Source organism: Homo sapiens, chromosome 22 (assembly GCF_000001405.40).
Source record: "Homo sapiens chromosome 22, GRCh38.p14 Primary Assembly".
Lineage (NCBI taxonomy): Eukaryota > Metazoa > Chordata > Mammalia > Primates > Hominidae > Homo > Homo sapiens.
The window spans coordinates 18,077,965-18,105,497 of NC_000022.11; the positions used below are offsets into that span (position 1 = coordinate 18,077,965).

Genomic DNA, 27,533 nt, shown 5'->3' on the forward strand with positions numbered 1-27,533 from the left:
GAGTACTCCGCGCCGCCGGGACGCCGCGCGGCTGCGGGGCTGGGCGAGCGCAAAGATGTCCGCGCCCGCTGCCGGGAGGCGAGGTGAGTCTTTGATCGTAACCAGGAGCCCGGAGCTGAGGCAGTTCCTGCACGTGTCGCGGGGCCGGAGAAGCTAGGGCCAGGTATTCCAGGGATGCAAGAATCCTGCAAATCTGACGTGTAAACTGCTTCCCCAGCCTCCAGGCGAGCCCAGCTTTTGCCTCAGATAGGCCCCTTCCTTTTCCTTCTCGGGGAATCGACCTCGGGAAGGGGTGTGGGCAAAGAGATGAGGACTCTCCCTCTTCGCCCAGGCCAACTCGGGATATCCCGGAGCCTCTGGGGAGGCGGTCACTCCGACGTCTGAGGACCTGGGCCTTGGACCCGGACTCGTTATGAAGAGCGATTCTTCGACCTCTGCAGCCCCCCTCAGGGGGCTCGGGGGACCCCTGCGCAGCAGCGAGCCGGTGCGCGCGGTCCCGGCCCGGGCGCCGGCCGTGGACCTTCTGGAGGAGGCGGCCGACCTCCTGGTGGTGCACCTGGACTTCCGGGCGGCGCTGGAGACCTGCGAGCGGGCCTGGCAGAGTCTGGCCAACCACGCCGTGGCAGAGGAACCCGCGGGCACGTACGTGCTGGGCTCGGAAATGAACCGATTTCCGGGCGCTCTTGTGGTGGGGCTCAAGGTCTCAGGAGTTCTGTCCTTCCCAGATTGCCCACAAGGAGCTTTACACCTCGCTTTCATCAGTGGTTTGTCTCCGAGAGGGTGGTCGCTCATCGTGTGCCCATTCTACAGAGAAGGGAAGTCGTGTAACAAAAACTTAGTGGGGATCCCACAGCCAATTATTTGCTCCTTGTTCCAAGGTACAATGACATGATGGGAAGGCTGAATGTGTATTAAGTGCTAAGTTCTGTCAGTAAGCAGGTGGTAAAAGTCCTCTCCCAGGTACCTCCGCCCTCCCCGCCCCGCCCAAGGTTGTTTATTCCTGACCTTGGCTGATGATGGGGAATGGGGGTCATGGCAGGAGCAGCGTTCTGGTCCAATTAGAGGACTGGATTAAAGAATTAATTCAGGGCCGGGAGCTGGGGCTTACGCCTGTAATCCCAGCACTTTGGGAGGCCGAGGCAGGAGGATTGCTTGAGCCCAGGAGTTCGAGACCAGCCTGGGTAACATAATGAGCCCTCTTCTCTACCAAAAAGAAGAAAAAGAAAAGAATCCGGAGAAAAAAACCTTGGGCTTGCATTGCTCTTTCTAATGCCACCAGCCTCGTCTGGCAGGTGAGGGAGTCATTTCTTTGCATTGTAAACTTGGGTTAGGCCACGCTAGGGAGGTGGTAGGTAGAATAGCTAAAGTTGACCACAAAGAAGGATGATCTGGAGAGCCCTGGCTGTGTTTTAGGGGACTGGGTGGGAGCTCATTTCAGTGAATGCAGAAGGCTTTGCTTCTGGGTGTCTGGAGGAACCTTACTAGGTGGTGCCTTTTAGCCAGCTATGGAGTCTATACCTCCACTCAGCCAGAAACCTTGCTCCAAGCCCATTTGTTCACAGAGCAAACTCTTAGTTCCAGCTCTCTTTTCAGCCACACACCGGTGCTGTGTGTTATTTCCCCCTCAGGATTACCCTTCCTCTTCATTTAAATCTGATTTCACCTGGATACAAAGATGAACGTTGAGCAACAGCTGACTTGCCTCTTGAAAGAGGGTTACAGGAACTTTTAGTTCCTGGGGGAAAGGGCAGCCCATGAGACCAATTGTGAAGCCCATCTAAATACTAACAGGGATGAGAGAGATGATGGCTGCTGAGTTGGGAGCTGGAGAGGAACAGTCCCAAGGTGGAGGTGGGAATGGAAATGGAGGGGAACCACTTCTAACTGAAATTGGTTTTTCTGCTGACAGCTCATTGGAGGTGAAGTGCTCCCTGTGTGTTGTGGGGATCCAGGCCCTGGCAGAAATGGATCGGTGGCAAGAAGTCCTCTCCTGGGTCCTTCAGTATTACCAGGTCCCTGAAAAGCTACCCCCCAAAGTCCTGGAGCTGTGGTAAGTCTTCTTTGCTGACTCATCAGATCGGTTCAGAAACGAGAGGATTTTCATCTCCTCTCCTAAATACCTACTCTTTTCCCCTTCCCTACTATTGCCCTCCAGATCGGATTCTTTCCCTTCACTTTTTTTTCCCCAGACTTCCATACATAGCAATAAAGAATAAGGGGGAGGAATTTAGGAGTAGAATAGATATAAAGAAGGGAGGAAACAGGGAATAGGAGCGACGTGGGATGACAGAGTGGACAGAGCTGAAAGAGCAGCTTGCTACGTCCTAGGAATTCCTAATTCTTAAAAAAAAATTTTGTTTTGTTTTGTTTTGTTTTGTTTTTTGAGACGGAGTCTCGCCCTGTCGCCCAGGTTGGAGTGCAGTGGCACAGTCTCTGCTCACTGCAAGCTCCACCTCCCGGGTTCACACCATTCTCCTGCCTCAGCCTCCCGAGTAGCTGGGACTACAGGCGCCTGCCACCACGCCCGGCTAATTTTTTTGTGTTTTAAGTAGAGACAGGGTTTTACCGTGTTAGCCAGGATGGTCTCAATCTCCTGACCTCGTGATCCACCTGCCTCGGCATCCCAAAGTGCTGGGATTACAGATGTGAGCCATCGCCCCTGGCCAAAAAATAACAAAGTTTTTAAAATTGACACTTGTACATATTTATGGGGTAAATTAGACATTTCAATATATGCTGTGTATATGTTGTATAATGATCAAATCAGGGTAGTTAGCATATCCATCACCTCATGCATTTATCATTTGTTTGTGACAGGAACATTCAAAAGCCTCTCTTCCGGCTATTTTATATATACAATACCTTACTGTTAACCATAACCACCCTACCGTGCAATAGAACACCACAACTTATTCCTCCTATCCCACCGTAACTTTGTACCCATTGACGAACCTCTTCCCGTCTTCCTTTTCTTCCTTCCTTTCCCAGTCTCTGGTAACCACCGTTCTACCGTCTGCTTCTATGATATCAACTTTTTTTTTTTTTTAAAGATTCACATGAGTGAAATCATGTAGTATTTATCTTTCTGTGCCTGGCTTATTTCACTTAACATGATGTCCCCCAGGTCCACCTGTGTTGTCATGAATGACAAGATTTCATTCTTTTTTATGGCTATATAGTATTCCATTATATATATATATATATATATATATGCGTGTGTGTATATATATACACATATATAAACACATATATACACATAATATACATATATGTACACATATACACACACACACACACACACACACACACACACACATTATCCATTCATCTGTTGTTGGACACTTAGGTTGATTCCATATCTTGGCTGTTGTGAATAGTGCTGCATTAAACAGGGGAGATAATGGATTGCTAGATCATGTGGTAGTTCTATTTTTATTTTTTTCACCTGGCCATTCTTAAGTTTATTTTGATGACACCCGGTGACAGTTCCCTGTACCTAGAAGAAGGTGTTGGGACTCTTGATGTTGGAGTGTGGCTTGTGCTGAAGACACAGGACCTGGTAGGGCAGCAGGAACTTGATCTTGGAATTGTGGAACTGCTTGACTGTCGGCCGGTGGCAGTACCAGAAGCGGGACTTGGCACAACTTGCTTAGGTGCAGAGATTTGCTGGCAGTAGAGGGGCAGCATGTGGCATTTGGGGGTGGGCAGGCAGCAAATACTCTCTCAGTGTGCCCCAGGCCTTCATGGCATTCTCTCAGCACTTGCCACCACTTACAAAAAGGAAGTGCCGTCTTTCCTATTTTGAATTTTTTAAAGGAACCTGCATTCTGTTTTCCATAATGGCTGTACTAATTTACAGTCCCACCAACAGTGTGTAAGTGCTGCCTTTCTCCACATCCTCACCCGCACCAACACTCGTTTTCTTTTGTCTTTTTGATAAGAGCTGTTCTAACTGGAGCGAGGTAGTGTCTCATTGTGGTTTTGATTGGCATTTCCCTGATGATTAGTAGTGTTGAGCATTTTTTCATATACCTGTTGGCCATGGTACGTCGTCTTCTGAGAAATGTCTGTTGAGGTCTTTTTCCCTTTTGAATCAGGTTTTTTTTTTTTTTTTCTGCTGTTAAGTTCCTGATATATTCTGGATATTAACGCTTTGTCAGATGGATAGTTTGCAAATATTTTCTCCCATTCTGTAGGTTGTTTCTTCACTCTTAATTGCTTCCTTTGCTGTGCAGAAGTTTTTAGTTTGATGTCATTTCATTTGTCCATTTTTGCTTTTGTTACCAGTGCTTTTAAGGTCTTACTGAAAAAAACACTTGCTCAGCCCAGTGTTGTGAGGCATTTCTCCTGTGCTTTCTTCTAGTAGTTTCATGGTTTTGGATTTTACATTTAAGTCTTGAATCCATTTTGAGTTAATTTTTGTATGTGGGGAAAGGTAGGGGTCTGGTCTCCTGCATATGGATATCCGATTTTCCCAGCACCATTTATTAAAGAGACTGTCTTTTCCCCTGTGTGTGTTCTTGGCACCTTTGTTGAAAATCAGTTGGCTGTAGGTGCATGAATTTATTTCTGGGCTCTCTGTTCTGTTCTATTTTGTCTGTTTTTATGCCATAACATGCTGTTATGGTTACTGTTATAGCTTTGTGTAGTATGGTTTGAAGTCAGGTAATATGATACCTCCAGCTTTGTTCTTTTTGCTCACAACTGCTTTAGCCATTTGGGGTCTTTTGTGGTTCCATACGAATTTCAGGATTGTTTTTTCTGTTTCTGAAGAATGCCATTGGTGTTTTGATAGGGATTGCATTAAATCTGTAAATTGCTTTGGGTATTTTAATAATATTCTTCCAATTTGTGAATGAACACGGGATATCTTTCCATTTTTTGTGTGTCCCCTTCAACTTCTTTCATCAATGTTTTATAGTTTTCAGTGTAGAGATCTTTTGCCAGCTTGGTTTAATTTATTCCTAGGTATCTTATTTTTTTGGTAGCTATTGTAAATCGAATTGTTTTCTTGATCTCTTTTCCAATGGTTCACTGTCACGTATAGAAACGCTGTTTTTTGTACATTGATTTTTGTATCCCACAACTTTACTGAATCCGTTTATTAGTTCTGTCTGCAAACAGGGATAACTTGACTTCCTCCTTTCCAATTTGGATACCTTTTATTTCTTTCTGTTGCCCGATTGCTCTGGCTATGACCTCCAGTACTATGTTGAATAAAAACGGTCAAAGTAGGCATCTTTGTCTTGCTCCTGATCTTAGAGGAAAGGCTTTCAGCTTTTCCCATTGATTATGCTGTTAGTGATGGGTGTGTCGTGGGGAATTCCCATGAGCATCATCATTTCATCGGAAAGGGCTCGAGGACACAGTGAGGAGGGGCTGGATAGGAGAAGCATAGTGGTCATGGGAAATGAACCAATCATTGAGCACTGACTCTTCTTTTGTTGGGATTGGGTTTTTTGGGGACTGCAGCATTCTTTTATACAGCAAAATGCAAGAGCCTGGAGCTGTGCTGGATGTGGTGGGTGCCTGGCTCCAAGACCCAGCCAATCAAAACCTTCCAGAATATGGAGCCTTGGCAGAATTTCACGTGCAGCGGGTGCTGCTGCCTCTGGGCTGCTTATCGGAGGCTGAGGAGCTAGTGGTGGGCTCTGCAGCCTTTGGTGAGGAGCGGCGACTGGATGTACTTCAGGCCATTCACACAGCGAGGCAGCAGCAGAAACAGGAACACTCAGGCTCTGAGGAGGCCCAGAAGCCAAACCTGGAAGGTAGGACATTATCCCTCTGCGACCTCTGTAAAGTGGACTTGCGGGCTTGCACTGTACCTCGGGGTCTGTCGTGAAACTCCTGCGAGCTTAGAAGCAGTTCTTTGTATGAATAACTCTTGAGTCACAGAATAGGAGGCCTGTTGATTTGCTTCACAAAGTGAAGGCCAGACCCTCTGAAGTTGGCAGTGGAAGGAGAATCTCCACATGGGAAGGTGTTGCTGGGTCTTGGGACCTTGACTTGTCTTTTGAAAGTCATTTTCCCATTGGAGTCCTCTGATGAGGTCTCTTGCTTCCACCATACTGGTCTGGGTGGGATGTCCTTCCTCCTTTAAATGCTGGCCCCAATACAGACACAGCTGAGATCTGCTGGGATAGCCAAAGGAATATCAGAAACTAATTTGCAGACCCTTTCCCTGGTCGCTGAATCTTTTCCGCCCTTTTCCTTGAGTGATGATCTAGTCTAGTTGTGAATACTTCAAGGACAGAAAGTCACCATCTCTCTCTCTTTTTTTTTTTTTTTTTTTTTGTTTGAGACGGAGTCTCGCTCTGTCGCCCAAGCGGGAATGCAGTGATGCGATCTCCGCTCACTGCAAGCTGCACCTCTCAGGTTCACGCCATTCTCCTGCCTCAGCCTCCTGAGTAGCTGGGACTACAGGTGCCCGCCACCACACCTGGCTAATTTTTGTATTTTTAGTAGAGACGGGGTTTCACCGTGTTAGCCAGGATGGTCTCAATCTCCTGACCTCGTGATCTGGCTGCCTTGGCCTCCCAAAGTGCTGGGATTACTGGCATGAGCCACTGCGCCTGGCCTGAAAGGTTCTGAAAGGTTTTAAAAAACTTTTACAAAGATGCATTCAATATAGTAAATAATATATAGTCAAAATAAGTAATAAACACGAGGAAAACAATTTATATTCATGAGATTTGCAAGAGTATGTGCAGTTAAGGAATGAAGGCTTTAGCCAATACCTAATACCCTTTTACTAAACTCTTTTTTTTTTTTTTTTGAGACGGAGTTTTGCTCTTGTTGCCCAAGCTGGAGTGCAATGGCACGATCTTGGCTCACTGCAGCCTCCACCTCCCAGATTCAAGTGATTCTCGTGCCTCAGGCTCCCAAGTAGCTGGGACTACAGGCGCACACCACCACGCCTGGCTAATTTTTGTATTTTTAGTAGAGACGGGGTTTCACCATGTTAGCCAGGATGGTCTCGATCTCCTGACCTTGTGATCCACCTGCCTCAGCCTCCCAAAGTGCTGGGATTACAGGCATGAGCCACTGCGCCTGGCCTGCTCAGGTCTTAGAAGCAAGCACAGAGGTCGGGGTCAGGGAAGCTGATTCCCATGACATCCCTGAAGCTGTGCTCTGTCTCCCTGGCCAGGCTCTGTCTCCCACAAGTTCCTGTCACTACCGATGTTGGTTCGCCAGCTTTGGGACTCTGCGGTGAGCCACTTCTTTTCTCTGCCCTTCAAAAAGAGTCTCCTGGCTGCCTTGATCCTCTGTCTCCTGGTGGTGAGATTTGATCCAGGTAAGAGGTGGAGACTCTCCCCTGTCCTTCCTGGGAAGGGGTTGTTGCCAGGGCTGGGCCTGTGGGAGTGGGTGTTTGTCAGAGTCCTACTGGGGAGGGGAGTCTCTCCTATGACATTTCCCCTGAGTCTGTTCCACAAGGAGGAATTGCTAGACTGGGCATGAGCCAGCCCCACCCATAAGGAGAGGCCAGTCCTGGAGTCTATGAGAGCAGCCAGGAGAAAGTCCACTTGGCCCTGCTGACTCCTGAACATGGACTGAGTCATAGTCCTCCACTTTTTCTAGGGCTGAACTCTGACTAGAACCTCAGAATTTAAAAAAACTTCCTCTTGGCCAGGCACGGTGGCTCACGCCTGTAATCCCAGCACTTTGGGAGGCCAAGGCAGGCAGATCACAAGGTCAGGAAATCGAGACCAGCCTGGCCAACATGGTAAAGCCCCATCTCTACTAAAGATACAAAAAAAATTAGCCAGGTGTAGTGGCACATGCCTGTAGTCCCAGCTACTTGGGAGGTTGAGGCAGGAGAATAGCTTGAACCCGGGAGGCGGAGGTTGCAGTGAGCCAAGATCGCACTGCTGCACTCCAGCCTGGGCAATAGAGCGAGACTCTGTCTCAAAACAAAAAACAAAAAACAAAAAAACTTCCGCTCATCAGAATATCTACAAAAGTGTTAATTCAAGTATTAATGTCTCATGAAGTGTTAATTCAAAGCAAGTTGTAAATGAAAAACTCATACATTTTAGAAAATGTGGAAAATAGGCCGGACATGGTGGCTCACACCTGTAATCCCAGCACTATGGGAGGCCAAGGAGGGTGGATCACCTGAGGTCAGGAGTTCGAGAACAGCCTGGCCAATATGGTGAAACCCCGTCTCTACTAAAAATACAAAAATTAGCCAGGTGTGGTGGTGCGTGCCTGTAATCCCAGCAACTGGGGAGGGTGAGGCAGGGAGCATTGCTTGAACCCAGGAGGCGGAGGTTGCAGTGAGCCAAGATTGCACTGTTGCCCTCTGGCCTGGGCTACAAGAGCGAAACTCTGTCTCAAAAAAGAAAAAAAAATGTGGAAAATAGAGAAAAGTATAAAGAAGGGCATAGAAATCTGCTACTCTGCTGTGCTTTCAGTCTTTTTCTATGGATATAGAGATTGTAGGCAGTTACATGTCACACATATGCTTTCAAGCATGGCCTTAAATCGCTAACTATTCCAGTTCACAGGAATGCCCCTAAGTAATTTAACAACCCCTATTATTGAACATTTGGGTGATTATTCTGTTTTCTGCCTCGCTGTGAAGAAGGAATGAGCTCCCTAAGTGATATTTGGGAACAACCCCAGTTATTTCCTGAGGATTGACCCCTCAGGTGCATGAAGCCAAACTTGGCACTCGCTCTTTTAGATTTTTTTGTGTTACTCAGTGTGAGTTATGTTCTAATCTCTACTCTTCTCATGAATTTAGACTTAGAATATGATTAAATAAGTTTCAAAATTTAAGAGGAAATCAGAAACCCTTATACTGGTCCCTTCAAATGGTTTGTCTATTTTGAGAAGTGCCATTTGTTAACTTAGTCTTTAGATTCTCCCTGTTTCCCCATTTCTCTTTCTCTTATTCAGTGAGCTTTTTTAAAATATTTATTTATTTATTTTTATTTTTATTTTATTTTATTTATTTAGTTTTTGATACTGGGTCTTTCTCTGTTGCCCAGGCTGGAGTGCACCGGCGTGATCTTGGCTCACTGCAACCTCTGCCTCCTAGGCTCAAGCGATCTTCTCTCCTCAGCCTCCCAAGTAACTGGGACTACAGGCATGTGCCTCCATGCCCGGCTAATTTTTTATTTTTATTTTTGAGACAGAGTCTTGCTCTGTTGCCCAGGTTGCAGTGGCGTGATCTCGGCTTACTGCAACCTCCGCCTCCTGGGTTCAAGCGATTCTCCTGCCTCAGTATCCCAAGTAGCTGGGATTACAGGCACACACCACCATGCCAGGCTACATTTTGTATTTTTAGTAGAGACGGGGTTTCGCCATGTTTGCCAGGCTGGTCTCCAACTTCTGGCCTTAAGTGATCCTCTCACCTCAGCCTCCCACAGTGCTGGGATTATAGGCACAAGCCATCATGCCTGGCCAGCGAGGTTTCCGTCACATAGCTCAGAGTTGTCCTTCTAACCCGTCTGCTGAATGCTGAGCAGGGATCCCCTGTGGACGACTCTGTTTGCTTTACAAAGAAGTCACGAGTTAGCGCTCGGAATGCTCAGTATCATCAGCGTTCATCCCTGGCCACCTCCTGACTGATACAGATTTAGAAACTCTTTATGATTCTTTATGGTTCCCGTAAGCCCTTTAGTCTCGTAAACCCTGGTCTCCTAGTGGGGATGGCATGAGGACATTTGAGCCTGCTCTTTCCAAGGCTGCTTCAGAAGGGCCTGGCCCAGTGGCCCTGACCCTCAGCAGCAGGCCCGACTCATTGGAGTGATGATGGTGGGGGAGGAGAACCTGCACCTGCAGGCTGAGGATCGCATGAGCCCCAGAGATTGAGGCTGCAGTGAGCTGAACACAGACTGCACTGTACTCTAGCCTAGGTGACAGAGCGAGACCCTGTCTCTAAAAAAAACAAAACAAAACCAACTATGTGTAATTGGTAGTGGAGTCTCCCAGGGTGGGAGATGGCAGAGTGACAGGTGAGAGGGGTGGGACGTTCACTGTAGTCTCCCTCTGCCCTGCAGCTTCCCCTTCCTCCCTGCACTTCCTCTACAAGCTGGCCCAGCTCTTCCGCTGGATCCGGAAGGCTGCATTTTCTCGCCTCTACCAGCTCCGCATCCGTGACTGAGGGTCCCTGCGCACCACAGCCTCTCTGCTCCTCACGTCCGTGGCCACAGAAGCAGAGCGACAGAGCGACACATCCACAGGCGCCCCTGGGGAAATGGGACCAGCCTAATCTCGCGGAGTGCACTGTGTCTTGCTGCCTGGGTGCCCTCTCCTTTGCACCCTACTTCGGCTGGTCGCGGTAGATGATGTGGAAACAAAGCAGGACCAGCAGGCACAGCACCTCCAGAACAGTGCCCCGGATGACCAGAGGCCCCTTGAAAAGGAGGGGTTTGGGGACAGGGACTGTGTCCATGAAACATTCCATCTTCTTGGTGAAGGCAAGGGGTTGGTTCTTCAGGTCAGGATGTTAATGGAGCTGGAAGTTCAGAAAAAGCCTGGTGAAGTGACCCTTGGCCTTTCACTTCTTGAGAAACATACTTCTTTGCTGGGCATGGTGACTCACGCCTGTAATCCCAGCACTTTGGAAGGGTGAGGTGGGTGGATCACTTGTGGCCAGGAGTTCAAAACCTGCCTGGCCAACATGGTGAAACCCCATCTCTACTAAAAATACAAAAATTAGCTAGATGTGGTGCACGCCTATAGTCCTAGCTACTTGGGAGGCTGAGGCAGGAGAATCACTTGAGCCAGGGAGGCAAAAGTTGCAGTGAGCTGAGATTGTGCTACCGCACTCTCTCAAAACAAACAAAAAAACATGCCCCACAGGACAGTACCTTAATTAGCTAGAGTAGATCTGAGAGGGCCTCTTCTTGCCTGCACTGTGCTCCCCAGAGCTGATCTAATTCTGTATCAATAGGCTGTTCCCATGGTCTTGCCATGCGCTTGAAGCTGCAGGAGCCTTCTCACTGTTCAGGCTGGGGTGTGGTTTTCAGAACCACCGGGTTGACTACTGAAAACCAAGTGAGCCTTACAGCTCTTATCGCTGGGTAAAGTGATCTTGCCTGGTGCCTCTTGGTCTTCAGCTCAATTTTCCAGGTTGTCCTGGCCAAGTCTTGCTCTGTTACGCTCAGTGCCTCTGCCCACTCTTTCCCCGCCAGCCCTTCCCTCCCGCCCTGCAAACTTGTCCCTTGGCTGTTTCACCAGGTTCTGCCTGTATCCTTGCCTCCTTGGTACACACCATTTCAGGTTCTTCCCTTTCTGTGTCCCATTGTCCTAGTTATGTTCTGTTGTTTGTGTAATGCCCAAATTTTTCTGCTCGTGTGGCCTTGAAAAGTAGGCCAGCCTCAGAGGCTGCTGAGCTGAAAATGGAACTGAGTAATCAGGTGAGCTGGAAGGGATGTGGGGGGCGGGGCAGACGGGAGACATGGGTTTTGAAGGCAGTGAACAATAAAACCTTAGGGAGGTGGCACCGAGGCCTTAGCATTTGAGGAGCTGAAATGTTTCAGTGTTGTTTTCTCACCAGCCACAAGCATCTTATGAGTTTCTGTGCAAGGAAGCGTAGAGCACTGCTGTGCTGTCAGGATGAAGAAGGGCTTTCTGCAGGGGCTGGCCTTTCTCTACCCAGAGGCCAAGCAGGCTGCCCTGCACTGTGTCCTTGGTGTTGATGCCCAAAATAGAGAAGGTGCTTGCTAGCTTTTCCTTGGTACATTTTCGGGGGTTGCAAGGCAACAAGTTTTCTTTTGTTTTGTTTGTTTGTTTGTTTGTTTGTTTTTGAGATGGAGTCTCTGTCACCCAGGCTGGAGTGCAGTGGCGTGATCTCAGCTCACTGCAAGCTCCGCCTCCCGGGTTCATGCCATTCTCCTGCCTCAGCCTCCCGAGTAGCTGGGACTACAGGTGCCCACCACCTCGCCTGGCTAATATTTTTGTATTTTTAGTAGAGTCTGGGTTTCACTGTGTTAGCCGGGATGGTCTCGATCTCCTGAACTTGTGATCCACCCACCTAGGCCTCCCAAAGTGCTGGGATTACAGGTGTGAGCCATCGCGCCCGGCCAACTTTTCTTTAGAAAAATGAGTAAAGTAGGTAAACTTCACAGGCCCCTTAGAATTAAATCCTTAGGGCATGGTTCAAGTCTGTAGGAAGCAAATCTATACTTTTTTATATGGGCTTTTAAGTAAAGCTTAGAACCCTGGGGGGAGAAAAGCAGTCAGGTGAGGTTTGAGATTCCTTCTATAGAATGATTTCTTAAAATGAAAATCTGGGCCCACTTAACTACCCTAGATAAAACGCTTCAATGGCTTCCCATGGCTCACTGGATAACATCTAAATTCTTCATGGAATTGAAGGCCCCTATGTGCTGGTTTTGGCTAAGATCTCCCCTTTGATGTGGGTCCCCTGTTGATTATATGTGCGGCCTTCCAGCTGCCCACCATCACAGCTACAGCTCGCTCCCCTTGGCCTCTGTGCCTTGGCTCGCACTGTTCCTACTGAAGGCCTAGCACCTGCTCTTGGCCTGGTGAGCCCCTCCACCTTCCAGGCTTACTCAAAGAATTCTTTCTGCCCCTCCCTGTGTCCCGGGACCTGTTTCATATCGCTTCTGTGGTCGTGACCCCATGGTCTTGTAATTGTGAACTTCTTTGCTGCCCCTTCGAAGCTGGGGAGTGCTTGTTGCAGATGCATCCAAGAGGGGTAATTGCGTATCAACAGTGGATTTGCTGGTTGTTTCTACAGGGTTCTGAAGCATGCAACATAGAACAGATACCTTTAAATTTAGGGGCGCTAAGGAAAGCAGGAACCAGTAATCCTCTTCTGTGGTGGGATGGGAGGGTGGGGGAGAGGGGTGGAATGGAGAGGAAACAGGCTATTGTTGGCCAGCCCTGGGTGGAGGTGGGTGCAAGCAGGACAGATAGTGCCTGGGGGTGGGGGCGGAGGGTTCGCCTCTAGGAAGGGGCTAGAAGGGATGAGGAAATAGTTCATAGCTTCGTGCAGGTGATCCCTATTCTGCGTGTATGTGTTTGCACATGAGTGTTTGTAGACCATAGACCATTAAAAAATACGGAATTCAAAAGTTACAAAAAGGGTATTCTTGGAAAAGAAAGTTGTTTTTTTTTAGTCTTGCTGTGTTGCCCAGGCTGGACCTGAACTCCTGGGCTTGAGCAAGTCTTCCCCTCAGCCTCTGGAGTAGCTGGGCCTACAGTGTGTGCTGCCACACCCAGCTAATACAGTCTTTCTACTCCCGCTCTCTATTCCCCAGTTTCTTGCCCAGAGGCAACCCTTGCCAGTCTGTTTATCCCTCCAGATACAGTCTCTGATAGTAAACTTTTCTTTCTCTTACACAAATGATAGTAGTCACATACACTACACACACTGTGCCACGTTTAAAAAGAAAAAAAACAATTCTCGGCTGGGCGCGGTGGCGCATGCCTGTAATCCCAGCACTTTGGGAGGCCAAGGTGGGTGAATCACCTGAAGTCAGGAGTTCGAGATCAGCATGGCCAACATGGTGAAACCCCATCTCTACTAAAAATACAAAAAAAAAATGAGCCGGGCATGGTGGTGGGTACCTGTAATCCCAGCTACTCAGGAGGCTGAGGCAGGAGAATCACTTGAACCCGGGAGGCAAGGGTTGCAGTGAGCTGAGATCGCGCCATTGCACTCCCACCTGGGCAACAAAGAGTGAAACTTGGTCTCAGAAACGAAACAAAACACAAAAACCTTTCTCAGTCCCAGCATATGTGGAGCAGCCTCATTCTTCATAGCTGTGTGTCATTCCGTTGCGTGATGGGGTCACAGAGCACAGACCTGGTGCCCTTTTCCTTTTTAATATGTGGAAACCCCTCCATGCTTTCCAAAGCCTACAAGTACAGCAGCCCCAAGTTTAGGGTGAGCAGCAGTGGTCAGAGCTCTTTACTATTACTTTTGGGCAAACGCAAGCCAGGCTGGCAACCACCACTGCCGCCGAGGGGAGATACAAGCAGGCCAGTTCACACTCTGGACGTTCAGTTTCTTTCTACATCTAGAAGGTGGCCTCTGCTATCCACTTAAAGCAGCCCAAGGAACTGTCAGAAAGCGAAAGTGATGACATGAACCGCGAGTAGGGCACCTCCCTGTGCCGTCGTCTGCTTTCCTTCCTCCCTCCCAGCCTCCCTGTGCCGTCCTCTGCTTTCCTCCCTCCCAGCACGGAAAAGCCGTGGGGCCGATGGACTTTGGCCTCACATCCACAGATGGGGCCTGTGGGAATTCTACTGATTTACTCTCTGGCCTAGTCAAGCAACCCACCCACGGCCTGGCCAAGGTCGGCCTCACCGCCCTGGCCTAGCACCTTTGGAAACTGAATACATGGAGTGTTAACCAGAAAAATGTCTGGCCCTTTTGCCTCGCTGCCTCTGGAAACCTCAGTGTTTCGGGCTGGTAGGAAGCTACAGGACAGACAGTGGGCACGGTGCCTAGCAGCCTGTCGCGCCCCCGCCCGCCTCTGCATTCCTCCAGCGGTGGTGTACGGATCCAGACATTGTTTGCCACCTCTAGGCCTCTTGATAAAACAGCAAGTATTTTTCTTGTCTTAAAGCAATGCATGTATATTTTAGAAAATATTAATTGCATAGAAGGAAATACAGGACTCGTGATCCCACCACTCAGAAATAATTACTATTAATACGGTTGATTTTCTTTCAGCTTTTTTCCCCCTAATTAATTAACTAATTCTTTTTTTTCCTGCAACTCCTGCTTCACAGACTTTTTTTTTTTTTTTAACTTGGCATGGTGGCTCACACCTATAATCCCAGCACTTTGGGAGGCCAGAGTGGGAGGATTGCTTGAGCCTAGGAGTTCAAAGCTAGCCTGGGCAACCTAGTGGGACCCCATTTCTTTTTTTTGGGGGGGGGGTGGGTTATAAAAGCCCTTTTATAAAGCCAATTTTAAACAAGAAAAAAACAAAAAGTTTACAAAAGAAAAAAAGATACAGAAAAAGAATAACTTGCTTCATATGTCCCAAAAAGAGAAAAAAATAAACGGGACAATGCCAACATGCTCAACAATAAAGGGTTCTTTTTCTTACTTTTTTAATACAAAATACAAGCAAAGGATACACATACTTAAAACAGAGCTCAGGAGCAGACACGCAGTCCTGGGAACCCTTCAATAAGAGCAAAGCAGGAGTTTGTTTTTTCTTTGTGCAGATACATACAGAGACTGGGATATGTAAAAATTAAGTATCACAAAAGACCATCACACGATTCTACCAATGCATGTTGCATCTATAATTCACGAACATGGTCAACAAGATCATGTTCACTTCAACCCCATTTCATTTAAATTAAAGAAAAAAACCTGGCCGGGCGCGGTGGCTCACGCCTGTAATCCCAGCACCTTGGGAAGCCGAGGCAGGTGGATCACGAGGTCAGGAGATCGAGACCATCCTGGCTAACACGGTGAAATCCCATCTCTACTAAAAAAATACAAAAAATTAGCCGGGCGTGGTGGCGGGTGCCTGTAGCCCCAGCTACTCGGGAGGCTGAGGCAGAAGAATGGCGTGAACCCAGGAGGCGGAGCTTGCAGTGAGCCTAGATGGCGCCACTGCACTCCAGCCTGGGGGACAGAGCAAGACTCCGTCTTAAAAAAAAAAAAAACAAAAATAAACCTTTTAAATAAAGTGGTTACATTCTAACTTTAACTTCCTTAGTACCATGCTGCAGGTTTCAGCACTGTTAAGGTATTGCAAGAATGCCCAACCCTCTGGTGTCTGATTGTGTATCTAGCAACATTGCAGTATGAAGAAAAGAGATGCCCCGGGTACGACCCCATTTCTATTAAAAATAAATGTAAACACCCAACCCTCTTGGCAGCCCATGCACTTGAGAACCTGTAGAAAATGGCAGTGTGCAACCAGCATGGCTGCGAGCTCAGCGTCTTCACTAGAGAGAGTGGAGGTGGTTAGGAAAGGGCAGGCGGGAAGGGGCCATGTTGGCCGGACAACTGCAGGTGAAGATGGGATTGTGAAGTACAGTCCAAGGCCCACTCACCAAGGGCTGGATCCAAATATGTGGGGTTGGGATTCTGTGACCTACTTCCAATTTTAATATTGACCTGAGCTCATATTTAGCTCTACATGTTTCCCAGCTCGTATTTTCCAACAGCCCCTTTAAAACTTTTAGCATCCTCTTGTCACTTTTGTACTATCCAAGGTGGGACGGACAGGTGTCAGATAATAGCAGAGACTTGGTGAAGAAATGAAAGCACTTTTGTAGAAGAGTGTCATTTCAGAAAAAAGCCTTTTTTTTTTGAGATGGAGTCTCGCTCTGTCACCCAGGCTGGAATGCAGTGGCGTGATCTCAGCTCACTGCAAGCTCCGCCTCCTGGGTTCACACCATTCTCCTGCCTCAGCCTCCCGAGTGGCTGGGACTATAGGCGCCCGCCACCACGCCTGGCTAATTTTTTGGTATTTTTAGTAGAGACTGGGTTTCACCGTGTTAGCCAGGATGGTCTCGATCTCCTGACCTCGTGATCCGCCTCCCACAGTGCTGGGATTACAGGCGTGAGCCACGGCACCTGGAGAGAAAAAAGCTTCTTTAATGACGACCTCAACATAATTTACATGGAGAAGTTTCTTAGGTGGAAAACCGATTTGTATGGTCCTCAGAATGTAACCTACAGGTTCTTGCCCTCAGAAAAATGCATGCATACTTTTATGTTACAGGCTTATTTTCCAAATGCGGTAGAGGGCCATCCCTTCTTTGGCTTCTTGCCTTGTCTCTGACCCCACTGACTGCCCCTTTTCTGCCTCCATAGCTAGTTTCTTATTTTCCTTTGGCTTTTTTTTTCTTTTCTTTTCTTTTCTTCTTTTTTTTTTTGAGATGGAATCTTGCTCTTGTCACCTAGGCTGGAGTGCAGTGGTGCGATCTCGGCTCACTGCACCCTCCTCTTGGGTTCAAGCCAGCGAGGTAGATATTATCATTTTAGAGACAGCAAAACAGACTCAGAGGGGCTAATGTGCCCAGTGCCCCACCGCTTTTAAATGGTAGAGCTGGGATTTGAATCTAGGCATACAGGTACCAGGATTTCTGTTCTTATCTCCCCCATAGCACCTGGAATGAGGCCATCCATGTAAGAGGCCAAGTAATAAAGATTTGTTGAATGAACTTGGATTTTGGCCTTAGGAATTAGGGAAGGAAGAAATAGAAGCAGCAAGAGTTGGTGAGCAATAAGACCCGCACCAGGGCTGAAGGGTGGAGGTGGGGCAGGGGAGGGCTCTGTGCTTTGGCATCTGTTTAGTAGTATCGTCGCCCAGCTCCCTCCAGAGAAAGAGCAGGAGGTGTTCTTCTCAGATGTACCAGCAATGACAAAGCCTGGCGGGTGTCCTCCTGGGTAGGTATAAATACAAGCTGGTAGTTTCATTGGATGACTCACACAGATAAGCCATGCTCTTGGTTACCAGTGGACTTAGCTGGGTCTCAAAGAATGGGCTGCTTTCTCTGGAAAGCTGGGGAGCTGGTAAAATTTTTTGGTCGCCCCACCAGAGACATCCTACCCATTCCCAGTCCCTCTGTGGGCTCTGACATCTCTGTCCGGCGGGCACCCCCTGCTCTGGAACATTCTGGGAATGCTTCCCACTCCCCTTTTAGTACTTGTTTGTGTTCTGTCCTGTTCCTGGATTTCATGGTCTCCATGGTGACAAGTGCTTGTTTTCAGAGGTGCTAAAGACAATGGCTAAAAGATGTGCTCTATTAATCCTCCCAGGAAACATATTTTGCAAAAGCCTTTTTTTTTTTTTTTTTGAGAAACAAGGCCTAACCCCAATGGAGTAATTTGCTGCGTAAATGAGAGACATCATGGGATTGTGGTTAAGAGTGTGGGTCCCAGACCCATAATGCCCAAGTTTGTATCTTTTTTTTTTGAGACAGAGTCTCACTCTGTCGTCCAAGCTGGAGGGCAGTGGCATGATCTCGACACACTGCAACATCCACTTCCTAGGTTCAAGCGATTCTCTTGCCTCAGCCTTCCGAGTAGCTGGAACTACAGGCACACACTACCACGCCTGGCTAATTTTTGAATTTTTAGTAGAGACGGGGTTTTACCATGTTGGCCAGGCTGGTCTTGAACTCTTGACCTCAAGTGATCTGCATGCCTCACCTCCCAAAGTGTTGGGAATACAGGCATGAGCCACCACACCCGGCCTGAGTTTGTATCTTGACTCACCTGCTTTGACCTTCAAATAATCTTTCCTGTGCCTCAGTTACTTCATAGGTTTGTTGTGAGGATTAACTGGTGCTAATCCATGTAAAACACTGAAAAGGTGCATAGCATGTAGTGAGCAGGTGCTAGTTATTATTACTGTTGCTCTTAATTAAGTGAGGTAAGGAGGGGAGAGTTGGAGTGGTAGAACCCAGCATCTTGTGAACATCAGACCACAGAAAAGGCAGCACTTCTGATTCCTGTTCTTAGCCTAGGAACTAGGCTTTGCAAATGGCTCTGAATTTTTTTTTTTTTTTTGAGATGGAGTCTCGCTCTGTCGCCCAGGCTGGAGTGCAGTGGCACGATCTCAGCTCACTGCAAGCTCTGCCTCCCAGGTTCATGCCATTCTTCTGCCTCAGCCTCCCGAATAGCTGGGACTACAGGCGCCCGCCACCACACCCGGCTAATTTTTTGTATTTTTAGTAGAGATGGGGTTTCACCGTGTTAGCCAGGATGGTCTCGATCTCCTGACCTTGTGATCTGCCCACCTCGGCCTCCCAAAGTGCTGGGATTACAGGCGTGAGCCACCACGCCCGGCCGGCTCTGATTTCTTAAAGTGCTAAGCCTTTTTATATATTCATTTCAGACCATGTTTAATTTTCTAAATATGCAATACATTCATAGGGTTTTTGAAAAGGCTTGAAAAAGTCTAGTGTGAAAGCAGTCTGTATTAGTCCATTTTCACACTGCTTTAGAGAAGTATCAGAGACTGGGTAATTGTTGAAGAAAAGAGGTTTAACTGACTCACAGTTCTGCATGGCTGTGAGGCCTCAGGAAACAAGCAGTCATAGTGGAAGGCAAAGGGGAAGCAAGGCACATCTTACATGGCAGCAGCAGAGAGAATGAGGGGGGATGCCACACTTTAAAACCATCAGAACTCGTGAGAACTGACTCACTATCACAAGAACAACAGGGGAGAAACTGTTCCTGTGATCCAGTCACCTCCCACCAGGTCCCTCCTCCGACGTGGGGATTACAGTTTGAGATGAGATTTGAGTGGGGACACAGAGCCAAACCATATCACCTCCCATCTCTTCATTTAGCAAGTTCACCTACCCCAATGGCAGCTATGGCCGTTAGTTTTTTTTTTTTTTCTTTTTTTTGAGACAGAGCCTCACTCTGTCGCCCAGGCTGGAGTGCAGGGGTGTGATCTCGGCTCACTGCAAGCTCCGCCTTCCGGGTTCACGCCATTCTCCTGCCTCAGCCTCCCAAGTGGCTGGGACTACAGGCTCCTGCCACCGCGCCCGGCTAATTTTTTGTATTTTTAGTAGAGACGGGGTCTCACCGTGTTAGCCAGGATGGTCTTGATCTCCTGACCTCGTGATCCACTTGCCTCGGTCTCCCAAAGTGCTGGGATTACAGGCATGAGCCACCGTGCCTGGCCACAGCCATTAGTTTTAAATTTACTCTTCCAGAGGTAAATTTAATACACCAATACAAAACCAGTATGGATATAGATCCTAGTTTCTTCTCCTTTTTATAAAAAAAACCTGTAGTATATTATGTACTCTGTTTTATTCCTTCCTTTTTTTTTCTTATAAAAAATACAGAGATGGGGTCTTACTACACTGACCAGGCTGGTGTTGAACTTGCCTCAAGTGATCCTCCCATCTTGACCTCCCAAAGTGCTGGGATTATAGGCATAAGCCACCACACCCAGATGATTTTTTTATTTTTCAAAGAAGTGGCATGATTTTGATGACAATAAAGGACAATATGTAATTAATGGTAATTATAATACAGCCTTCTAGAGGCCAGGTGCAGTGGCCCATGCCCGTAATCCCACCACTTTGGGTGGCCAAGGCAGGTGGATCATGAGGCCAGGAGTTTGAGACCAGCCTGGCCAACATGATGAAACCCCATCTCTTCAAAAAATCTAAAAATTAGCTGGGTGTGGTGGCGTGCACCTGTAATCTCAGCTACTTGGGAGGCTGAGGCACAAGAATCACTTGAACCCAGGAGGCGGAGGTTGCAGTGGGCCGAGATCGAGCCACTGCACTCCAGCCTGGGCAACAGAGCGAGACTCTGTCTCACACATACACACACAAAAAAAGTATAAATATATAGCTTTCTAGATATAGGATTGGACTGGTTTTGGTTCTGGCTCTGTTACTAATTTGCCCTATAACTTTGCATAAGTCATTTAATCTCGGGTCCAATTTTTCTCACCTCCAAGATGGGGACAAAAATTATCTTCCTTGGCTGGGTGCGGTGGCTCATGCCTGCAATCCCAGCACTTCGGGAGGCCAAGACCAGCCTGGCCAACATGATGAAACCCCACCTCTACTAAAAATACAAAAATTAGCTGGGTGTGATGGTGCACACCTTTAATCCCAGCTACTCAGGAGGAGGCTGAGGCAGGAGAATCTCTGGAACCTGGGAGGCAGAGGTTGCAGTGAGCTGAGATCCTGCCACTGCACTCCAGTCTGGGCGACAGAGTGAGATTCTGTCTCAAAAAAAAGAAAAAAGAAAAAAAAATTACCTCCCTCATTTTCTTTATAATATTATTGTGTAAAATGAGTAAAAGTCTATAAGAAAAACTTTGAAAAGTATTAAGTAATACACATGTGTATGTGTGCGTGTGTAGACATATATATATAATATATATACACATATGCAATGGAGTAATGAAAATACTATATAATAAATATAAAATGGATTAAAACTATATAAAATAGATGCATGAAATGGCTACATAGATATGGATGTTTGCATATAGGCACATTTAGCTGGATTAAGTTAGATTTAAATGGTCCAATAGAGAACTGTGCATACAATTACATAGGCAACCACAAATCAACCCTTTCTCTGGGCTATCTAAAATAATCAGGTACTAGACCAAAAAATGACATGCTGTCTGCCTTACCTTTTAGTGATGATTTGTAGGAAGAGGAAGGTAGGGGCTGGTGAGTGGAAAAGTAGTAGAGTTTGTGAGGGAATGTTCTGTATGTCTGAAGACAAAGTCTGGAGATTGGTGGGCCAGAAGGTGTGAATCTACTCTGAAGGACAGGCAAGAGTCCAGCCCAGGGAAAAAGGTGCAGATGGGTAGGATTTGGGTGGGTACTTGAATTAAAAAAATGAATTTGTGAGGCAATATTGCTGGAGTCAAAACCAAAAAATCAAATTGACCAGGGCAAAAAATAGCCTGGGGCCTAGCATGGCTCTGCTGCCACGTAGGATGACTGGACCTCTTTCCAGGTTCGTGTTAACAGTCCATACTACTTATGGTATACGTGAAATGCTTTCTATTCATTCAAGCAACCTTACTAAAAACACCCCATGAAAATAAAAGTCTATATCTTCCCTTCAATATACATTCATATGTGCTTATTTTAAGCATATATCTACCAATTTGAGTTTGGCATTCTTTTTCATTTAATATTATTACCTATTCAGCTTCCAACATTATCACTTCCTTACTACACACATTTGTTTCCTAGGACTGCTGTTAACAAATTGCCACAAATGTATGGCTTAAAACAACAGAAATTTATTATCTCACAGCTCTGAAGGCCAGAAGTCAGCCAAAGCCTCTGCCTCTGAAGGCTGTAGGCAAGATTCCTTCCTTGTTTCTTCCAGCTTCTGCTGGCTCTAAGTGTTCCCTGGCCTGCGACAGCATCACTCCAATCCCTGCCTCAGTCTTCGCTTGACCTTCTTCGTACCTCTGTATCTTCTCTGCCAAGGATGCATGTCACTGAATTTAAGAGCCACCCTAATCCAGGATGATCTCATCTTGAGGTCCTCAATTACATCAAGATCCTTATTCCAAATAATGTCACATTCTGAGATTTTAGGCAAACATATCTTTGGGGGGCCAAAATTCAATCCCCTAATCCATGTTAGTAACCATGCAGTGTTCCTTCTTATTTCTATGTTGACCTTTTCAGCTCTTTCTATTTATTGTTATTATTTTTGAGATAGAGTTTCAATCTTGTTGCCCAGGCTGGAGTGCAATGGTGCAATCTTGGCTCACGGCAACCTCCGCCTCCCAGGTTCAAGCAATTCTCCTGCCTCAGCCTCCTGAGTAGCTGGTATGACAGGCATGCACCACCATGCCCAGCTAATTTTATATTTTTAGTAGAGGCAGGGTTTCGCTGTGTTGGCCAGACTGGTCTCAAACTCCTGATCTTGGGTGATCTGCCCTCCTCAGCCTCCCAAAGTGCTGGGATTAGAGGCGTGAGCCACCATGCCTGGCCAGCTCTTTCTAACTAAAAAATAATAATAATAATAATAAAAAATAAAAGATGATACTTGCAAAATACCTCAAGTGTACCTCATTTACCTCAAATATACCTCATGGTCCGAAAGTATTTAGTCAGCAATGTACCATTATAGAAAAACACATAGCTTGTGGCTCCAACTTTAAAACCAGAATAACCAAGTGAAAAGTCAGTACAGATTCTCACTTCTACTTAAAAAATCAAAGGTACACATTGGGAATTGAACAGCTATGTTTTTTCTTCTTTCTAGAGATGTGACATACATATTTTCTGGTCAGTAATATTCTACCAATGGTATTAATTCAAAGCAGGTAGATGACCAGCGATGCTGTTTACTACATCCTACGCATGCTGAGATAGATGAGTGGGACACCATCTCGGTAGGAAAGAGTTTGACAGGAAGAAGAAATTGCAGAGTCCCTGCCTGTCCCAGAGAACCTAACAAACTGATCTATATGGAAAGGATTTTCAGCAAACATGCACAAACACAGTTAATATGCTGGAAGAAGAGGATAGCTTTTAGTCTATTTCCAGCACACGGCCTACACTCACTGGTACCCCATACAACAGGAATGAATGCCGACTTAGCATTTTTGCCTTCACAGCGCTGGCAACTAAAAGGCTCACAGATACTCTGATCTTTAAGCAGATAATCATGGAATTCTCAACATCATATCCACTAGGTTAGGCTGAGGGTTCATCTATAAAAGTATTTTTCCAAAAATAATGCTTAAAAGAGACTTCTAGAAACAGTGGGACTGTATCAGGATCAACAGAAGACTTCTTGACCCAAAGATTCAAATATAGAACTAGGAATTGATTTTCACATGTAGTTTTTAGGTAAAGGACATCTCTTTCAGTTGATTCCTACAGCCAAGACTAGCTTTGATCCTGGGAGATTCAGAAACCTCAAGATGGGTAGCTGGCTTGAGTAACATCCTAGATAATAGTCCCAGTCAAAAACCCCATTGAGGTTGAAGGACTGGAAACTGACCTGTGTGAAAAAGAGCTATCAGTGCAGGAAAAGACTCATGCTGATTTTGACCTTCCTCTGACCCTTTTCCCTCAACTGCTTGGTGGGGAGTAGCGAGGAGAAGGAGCATGTGGCACCCTCATTGGAGGCTGGAGCACTGCTGCAGAAAGTGATCTCTTACTCATACTTCAAGACACAGCCTAAGTATGACCACCTGTATGGACCCTTCCCTAATGCCCAGGATCAAGAAAAGAATGTGGCCACCTTCCAAGGCTCAGAGTAGCTGTGCAATGACTTGTGTCAAAACCCGATCCAGAGCAGCAGTGATGAAATCACCCTCTCCTTTAAGACCTGGCATTACAATGGCCTCATCCTGCATGTGGGCAAGTCAGCTCTCTGATGGATGGTGCAATTTCCTTGGTCATTAACCTGAGGTCTGGGGCCTTTAAAGCTATTGAGGAGCCAGTGAATGGAGAATTCGACAACGCCTGGCATGATTGAGGGTGACACATCACGGCAGATGATGGCTGAGGAGACATTGCCCAGAAGTCTCATCTTAGGTGGTTGAGTAGGAAGTTTGTGAAGCAGGTGGTGGGTGAGATGGAGTGGGTAGAGATTCAGGTATGGAGATGTCAGTGTCTAACTTTCTTCTAGTCTTTGCAATTTCACAAGGAAAATCACTAAAATGTGCGTCTCTTCATTTAAAAGAAAAAAAAGTTCATGCCAAAGCTGCTGGGACAAAGAGGACTCATGATAGTGGGTTATTCCACACTGTTGACACACTGAATGTATGCTGGCAGAAGGGCCTCAGGTGGAATGCTGGGCATGGGTTTGCCCCACAGCAGTCTGATTCAAAAGCACCTGAGAGATGGGAGGAGTACTAGGGTTACTAAACACAAGAAGGTGTTTCAGGAGAAACACATCAAGCCATTTGTTTTTGACCCTTAATACTTAACATGAATGATGAGTTGCAGAACAGTCAGTCTTTCCAAGATGTATTGTTCTATCCTCAATAGCTGCAGCCTCTCCAAGCCAGTGGGCTGGTGACATCCAGGATGATCCTCTTCCTTGCCTGGAGGTGGGATCTAGTGCCACAGCTTGTTCGGGGAAGCTGGCATAGAAGATGATTTGCTCAACAAAGTCACCGCTAAACTATCGCTTAGGTCTAGTCCCCGGCCTATGGCACCAAGTACTCCTGGTAGTACTTGTACACAGAATTTCTCTATAATAACCAGAACATGTCATCCATGGTAATGTCTGCTACATATCCAACCACAGCATCAAATTCTGTCTGATGAAGGGCACCAGCCCCTTCATCTTTATCATGCCTAATATTGTGAAGGCCATGTGCTAAATCCAGCAATCCGCTCCAGTAGGTGTCCTTCAGGATACTTTTCTGTCAAGTAAATACATTTATTAAAAATAGGCATGTAGCCGGGCGCAGTGGCTCACACCTGTAATCGCAGTACTTTAGGAGGCTGAGGCGGGCGAATCACGAGGTCAGGAGTTCGAGACCAGCCTGGCCAACACGGTGAAACCCCATCTCTACTAAAAATACAAAAAATTAGCTGGGCATGGTGGCGTGTGCCTGTAATCCCAGATACTCAGGAGGCTGAGGCAGGAGAATTGCTTGAACCCAGGAGGCAGAGGTGGCAGTGAGCCGAGATCGTGCGATCGTGCTATTGCACTCCAGCCTGGGCGACAGTGTGCGACTGCATCTCAAAAAAAAAAAAAAAAAAAAGGCATGTAAAAGTTAATCTCATGGAGGTAGAGAGTAGAATGACAATTACTAGAGGCTGGGCAGGGTGTGTATGTGGGATGAAGAGGTGGCTTGATGGACACAAACATAGATAGAAGGAGTGAGTTCTAATGCTTGATAGCAGAATAGGGTGACCATTGTTAACACTGTATTGGGTGTTTCAAAATAGACGGAATAAAGGATTTGAAATGTTCTCAACACATAGAAATGAGAAATACTCAAGGTCATGGGTATCCTGGATACCCTGAGTTGATCACTACACATTCTATGCATGTAATGAAATGTCACATCTACTTCAATAATATGTACAAATATTATTTATCAAAAAGCAGGCATGTAGGTGAGTTGATTTTCTTCCATGTCTTCAAACTCCTGGTAATACTTGTCCACAAAATTTCTCTATAATAACCGGAACATGTCATCCATGATAATGTGTACTATATATCCAACCACAACATCAAATTCTGTATCAGAGGCAGAAGAGAAGGACAGCATGAAGCTCGATTCCTCCAACTGTCCTTTGGCTGGTGGCCCTCCACCCTGCCCACAGCCCGGCCAGCTCAGCCCCGTCTCTGTCCCATACAGAGCCACAGCCACAGTGAGAGCCTGGCAGCCTGCCCGGAGGAGGCTTCTTGGCCCAGCCCGGTCAACACCCACATGCACCACCACCAACTTTTTGCTATTGTGAATAACATAGCTGTAAACAGATTGCATATGAAAGTGCTGTGAAATCACCAAGGGCTGAGTAGAACAGTTAAGACGATAGTAGTTGTTTTCTTTCTGGGTTTTTCTCTTGGGCTGGTTTTTGAAAGTGGATCTACAACATTGATAGAGATCAGTTTTTCTGCTCTTCCAACATACTGCCAGGACGTGGTCCAGAAAGATTGGGTACTTTGCAATACTCATAGCAATATGTGAAGTGATTGGAAAAAATGAGACTATTCAACCAGTTGTTTCAGTGTTGGTTAGGAGGAAAATGCCCAGAAAGGGGAACAGTTAATCATCTACACAATACCAAGAGCAGGAGGGGATGACCGACGGCTTCATCTTTCCTAGTCTATCCCACACAGACCTTTAGGTGCTCTTTTTTTTCTTTTTTTCGCTCTGTCGCCCATGCTGGAGTGCAATGGCGCGATCTCGGCTCACCACAACTTCCACCTCCCAGGTTCAAGCGATTCTCCTGCCTTAGCCTCCTGAGTAGCTGGGATTACAGGCATGCACCACCACGCCTGGCTAATTTTTGTATTTTTAGTAGAGACGGGGTTTCTCCATGTTGGTCTGGCTGGTCTCGAACTCCCAACCTCAGGTGGTCCACCTGCCTCAGCCTTCCAAAGCGTTGGGATTACAGGCATGAGCCATCGCACCCGCCTCTTTAGGTGTTCTTTTAGGAGCTGGTAGCGGAGGAAGGTGGTTACCCATCTGTGACAGAGCCTTGGATGTCACGAGGCCACAGGCTGGCCTTTCCTCCTGTTTACAGGAGGTGAGTTTTCCTGAGTTCCCAGCCTCAGTGTTCTCTGCACAGTCTGTCACTGACTCCCGCTCCCAGTGCTCACTGCCTCTTGTTCTCACTGCCTCCTGTTCTCACTGCCTCCTGTTTCTGCTGAGTTCTTTGCATCTGCCTGATGTTGGTTTAAAGCTCCACCCCTCCCAGGGGAATTTGTCCCATGATTCACCTCCTCTTTGGTGATCTCTTGATTGCGGCTGCTGCAGCCATGTAAACCTTAAAGGCGAGCCAATTTGTTTGTGATCCAGTGGCCAAAATGGTTCACCCTCAACTTCCCTTAATCCCCTGCAGCATCTGAGACACATGGGTGAATGTATGTAAGGTACTTGGGGCTAACCAAAGTTAAATACATATGACAAGTACCTGAATCTAGATAATCTAATGGTAAGATATCGTTTGCTCTCTGGACTTCATGGGCTCACCCCAGCAATGGGGTGCCTGGAAATGAAGAGATCTTTCTTGTGTCTCATCCTCTGGGCTCCCAGCCTCCCTCAACATCATGACCTCCATCTGTAACACCCACCATCCTGGAGCAGCATCCTGGATATTGGAACTCTGAAGTCTAACCTAAGAGAACAAGGACAAGCCTCTCTATGAAAGGTTTGCCCTTCCAGATCCAGTTGAGCTCTGCTCTGGAGCCAGACTCTCTGAAGCATAGCCCAGCTCTAGCTCTTACCAGTTATGTGATCAGGAATGAGAGTTAATGTTTCTATGTTTCTGATTCTTCATTTGTAAAATGAGGATAATAAAAATTTAACTTCAGAGGTTTGTTGTGAGGAATAAAAGCCATTAGCACAGTGTTTGGCATATAGAAAGTGCTCAGTGTTGGGGAATATTGAACAGATAATGAATATCGCCAAGAG

The 27,533-nt window shown here is 46.8% G+C and overlaps 1 protein-coding gene and 1 pseudogene across 3 annotated transcripts, besides 6 other annotated features; one reads left to right on the forward strand and one right to left on the reverse strand.

Moving 5' to 3' along the window:
- PEX26 (peroxisomal biogenesis factor 26) lies at positions 26–27,432 on the forward strand. 3 transcript variants are annotated; one of them, NM_017929.6, is made up of 6 exons: positions 26–83; positions 332–642; positions 1,910–2,050; positions 5,473–5,768; positions 7,148–7,294; positions 10,008–27,432. In NM_017929.6, exons 2-6 carry the CDS (start codon positions 413–415, stop codon positions 10,109–10,111), a joined length of 918 nt encoding a protein of 305 aa, NP_060399.1. In that variant the 5' UTR covers positions 26–83; positions 332–412; the 3' UTR covers positions 10,112–27,432. The 3 variants fall into 3 exon arrangements, with proteins under 3 accessions (NP_060399.1, NP_001121121.1, NP_001186248.1); NM_001127649.3 differs by having other exon boundaries at positions 26–642; NM_001199319.2 differs by lacking the exon at positions 7,148–7,294.
- Positions 90–319: an enhancer, noted in NCBI's record as "active region_18648". NCBI's record gives its function as "activates an Ori minimal core promoter by ATAC-STARR-seq in GM12878 lymphoblastoid cells {active_cell/tissue: GM12878}" and the evidence as "EXISTENCE:reporter gene assay evidence [ECO:0000049][PMID:35858748]".
- Positions 390–439: a silencer, noted in NCBI's record as "silent region_13448". NCBI's record gives its function as "represses an Ori minimal core promoter by ATAC-STARR-seq in GM12878 lymphoblastoid cells {active_cell/tissue: GM12878}" and the evidence as "EXISTENCE:reporter gene assay evidence [ECO:0000049][PMID:35858748]".
- Positions 800–849: an enhancer, noted in NCBI's record as "active region_18649". NCBI's record gives its function as "activates an Ori minimal core promoter by ATAC-STARR-seq in GM12878 lymphoblastoid cells {active_cell/tissue: GM12878}" and the evidence as "EXISTENCE:reporter gene assay evidence [ECO:0000049][PMID:35858748]".
- Positions 3,405–3,610: a silencer, noted in NCBI's record as "fragment chr22:18564135-18564340 (GRCh37/hg19 assembly coordinates)". NCBI's record gives its function as "represses an EF-1alpha promoter that drives an FKBP-Casp9 reporter gene in an ReSE screen in phorbol 12-myristate 13-acetate-treated (for megakaryocytic differentiation) K562 erythroleukemia cells {active_cell/tissue: K562(+PMA)}" and the evidence as "EXISTENCE:reporter gene assay evidence [ECO:0000049][PMID:32094911]".
- Positions 13,729–13,788: an enhancer, noted in NCBI's record as "active region_18650". NCBI's record gives its function as "activates an Ori minimal core promoter by ATAC-STARR-seq in GM12878 lymphoblastoid cells {active_cell/tissue: GM12878}" and the evidence as "EXISTENCE:reporter gene assay evidence [ECO:0000049][PMID:35858748]".
- Positions 13,809–14,018: an enhancer, noted in NCBI's record as "active region_18651". NCBI's record gives its function as "activates an Ori minimal core promoter by ATAC-STARR-seq in GM12878 lymphoblastoid cells {active_cell/tissue: GM12878}" and the evidence as "EXISTENCE:reporter gene assay evidence [ECO:0000049][PMID:35858748]".
- ARL2BPP10 (ARF like GTPase 2 binding protein pseudogene 10) lies at positions 24,493–25,685 on the reverse strand (annotated as a pseudogene).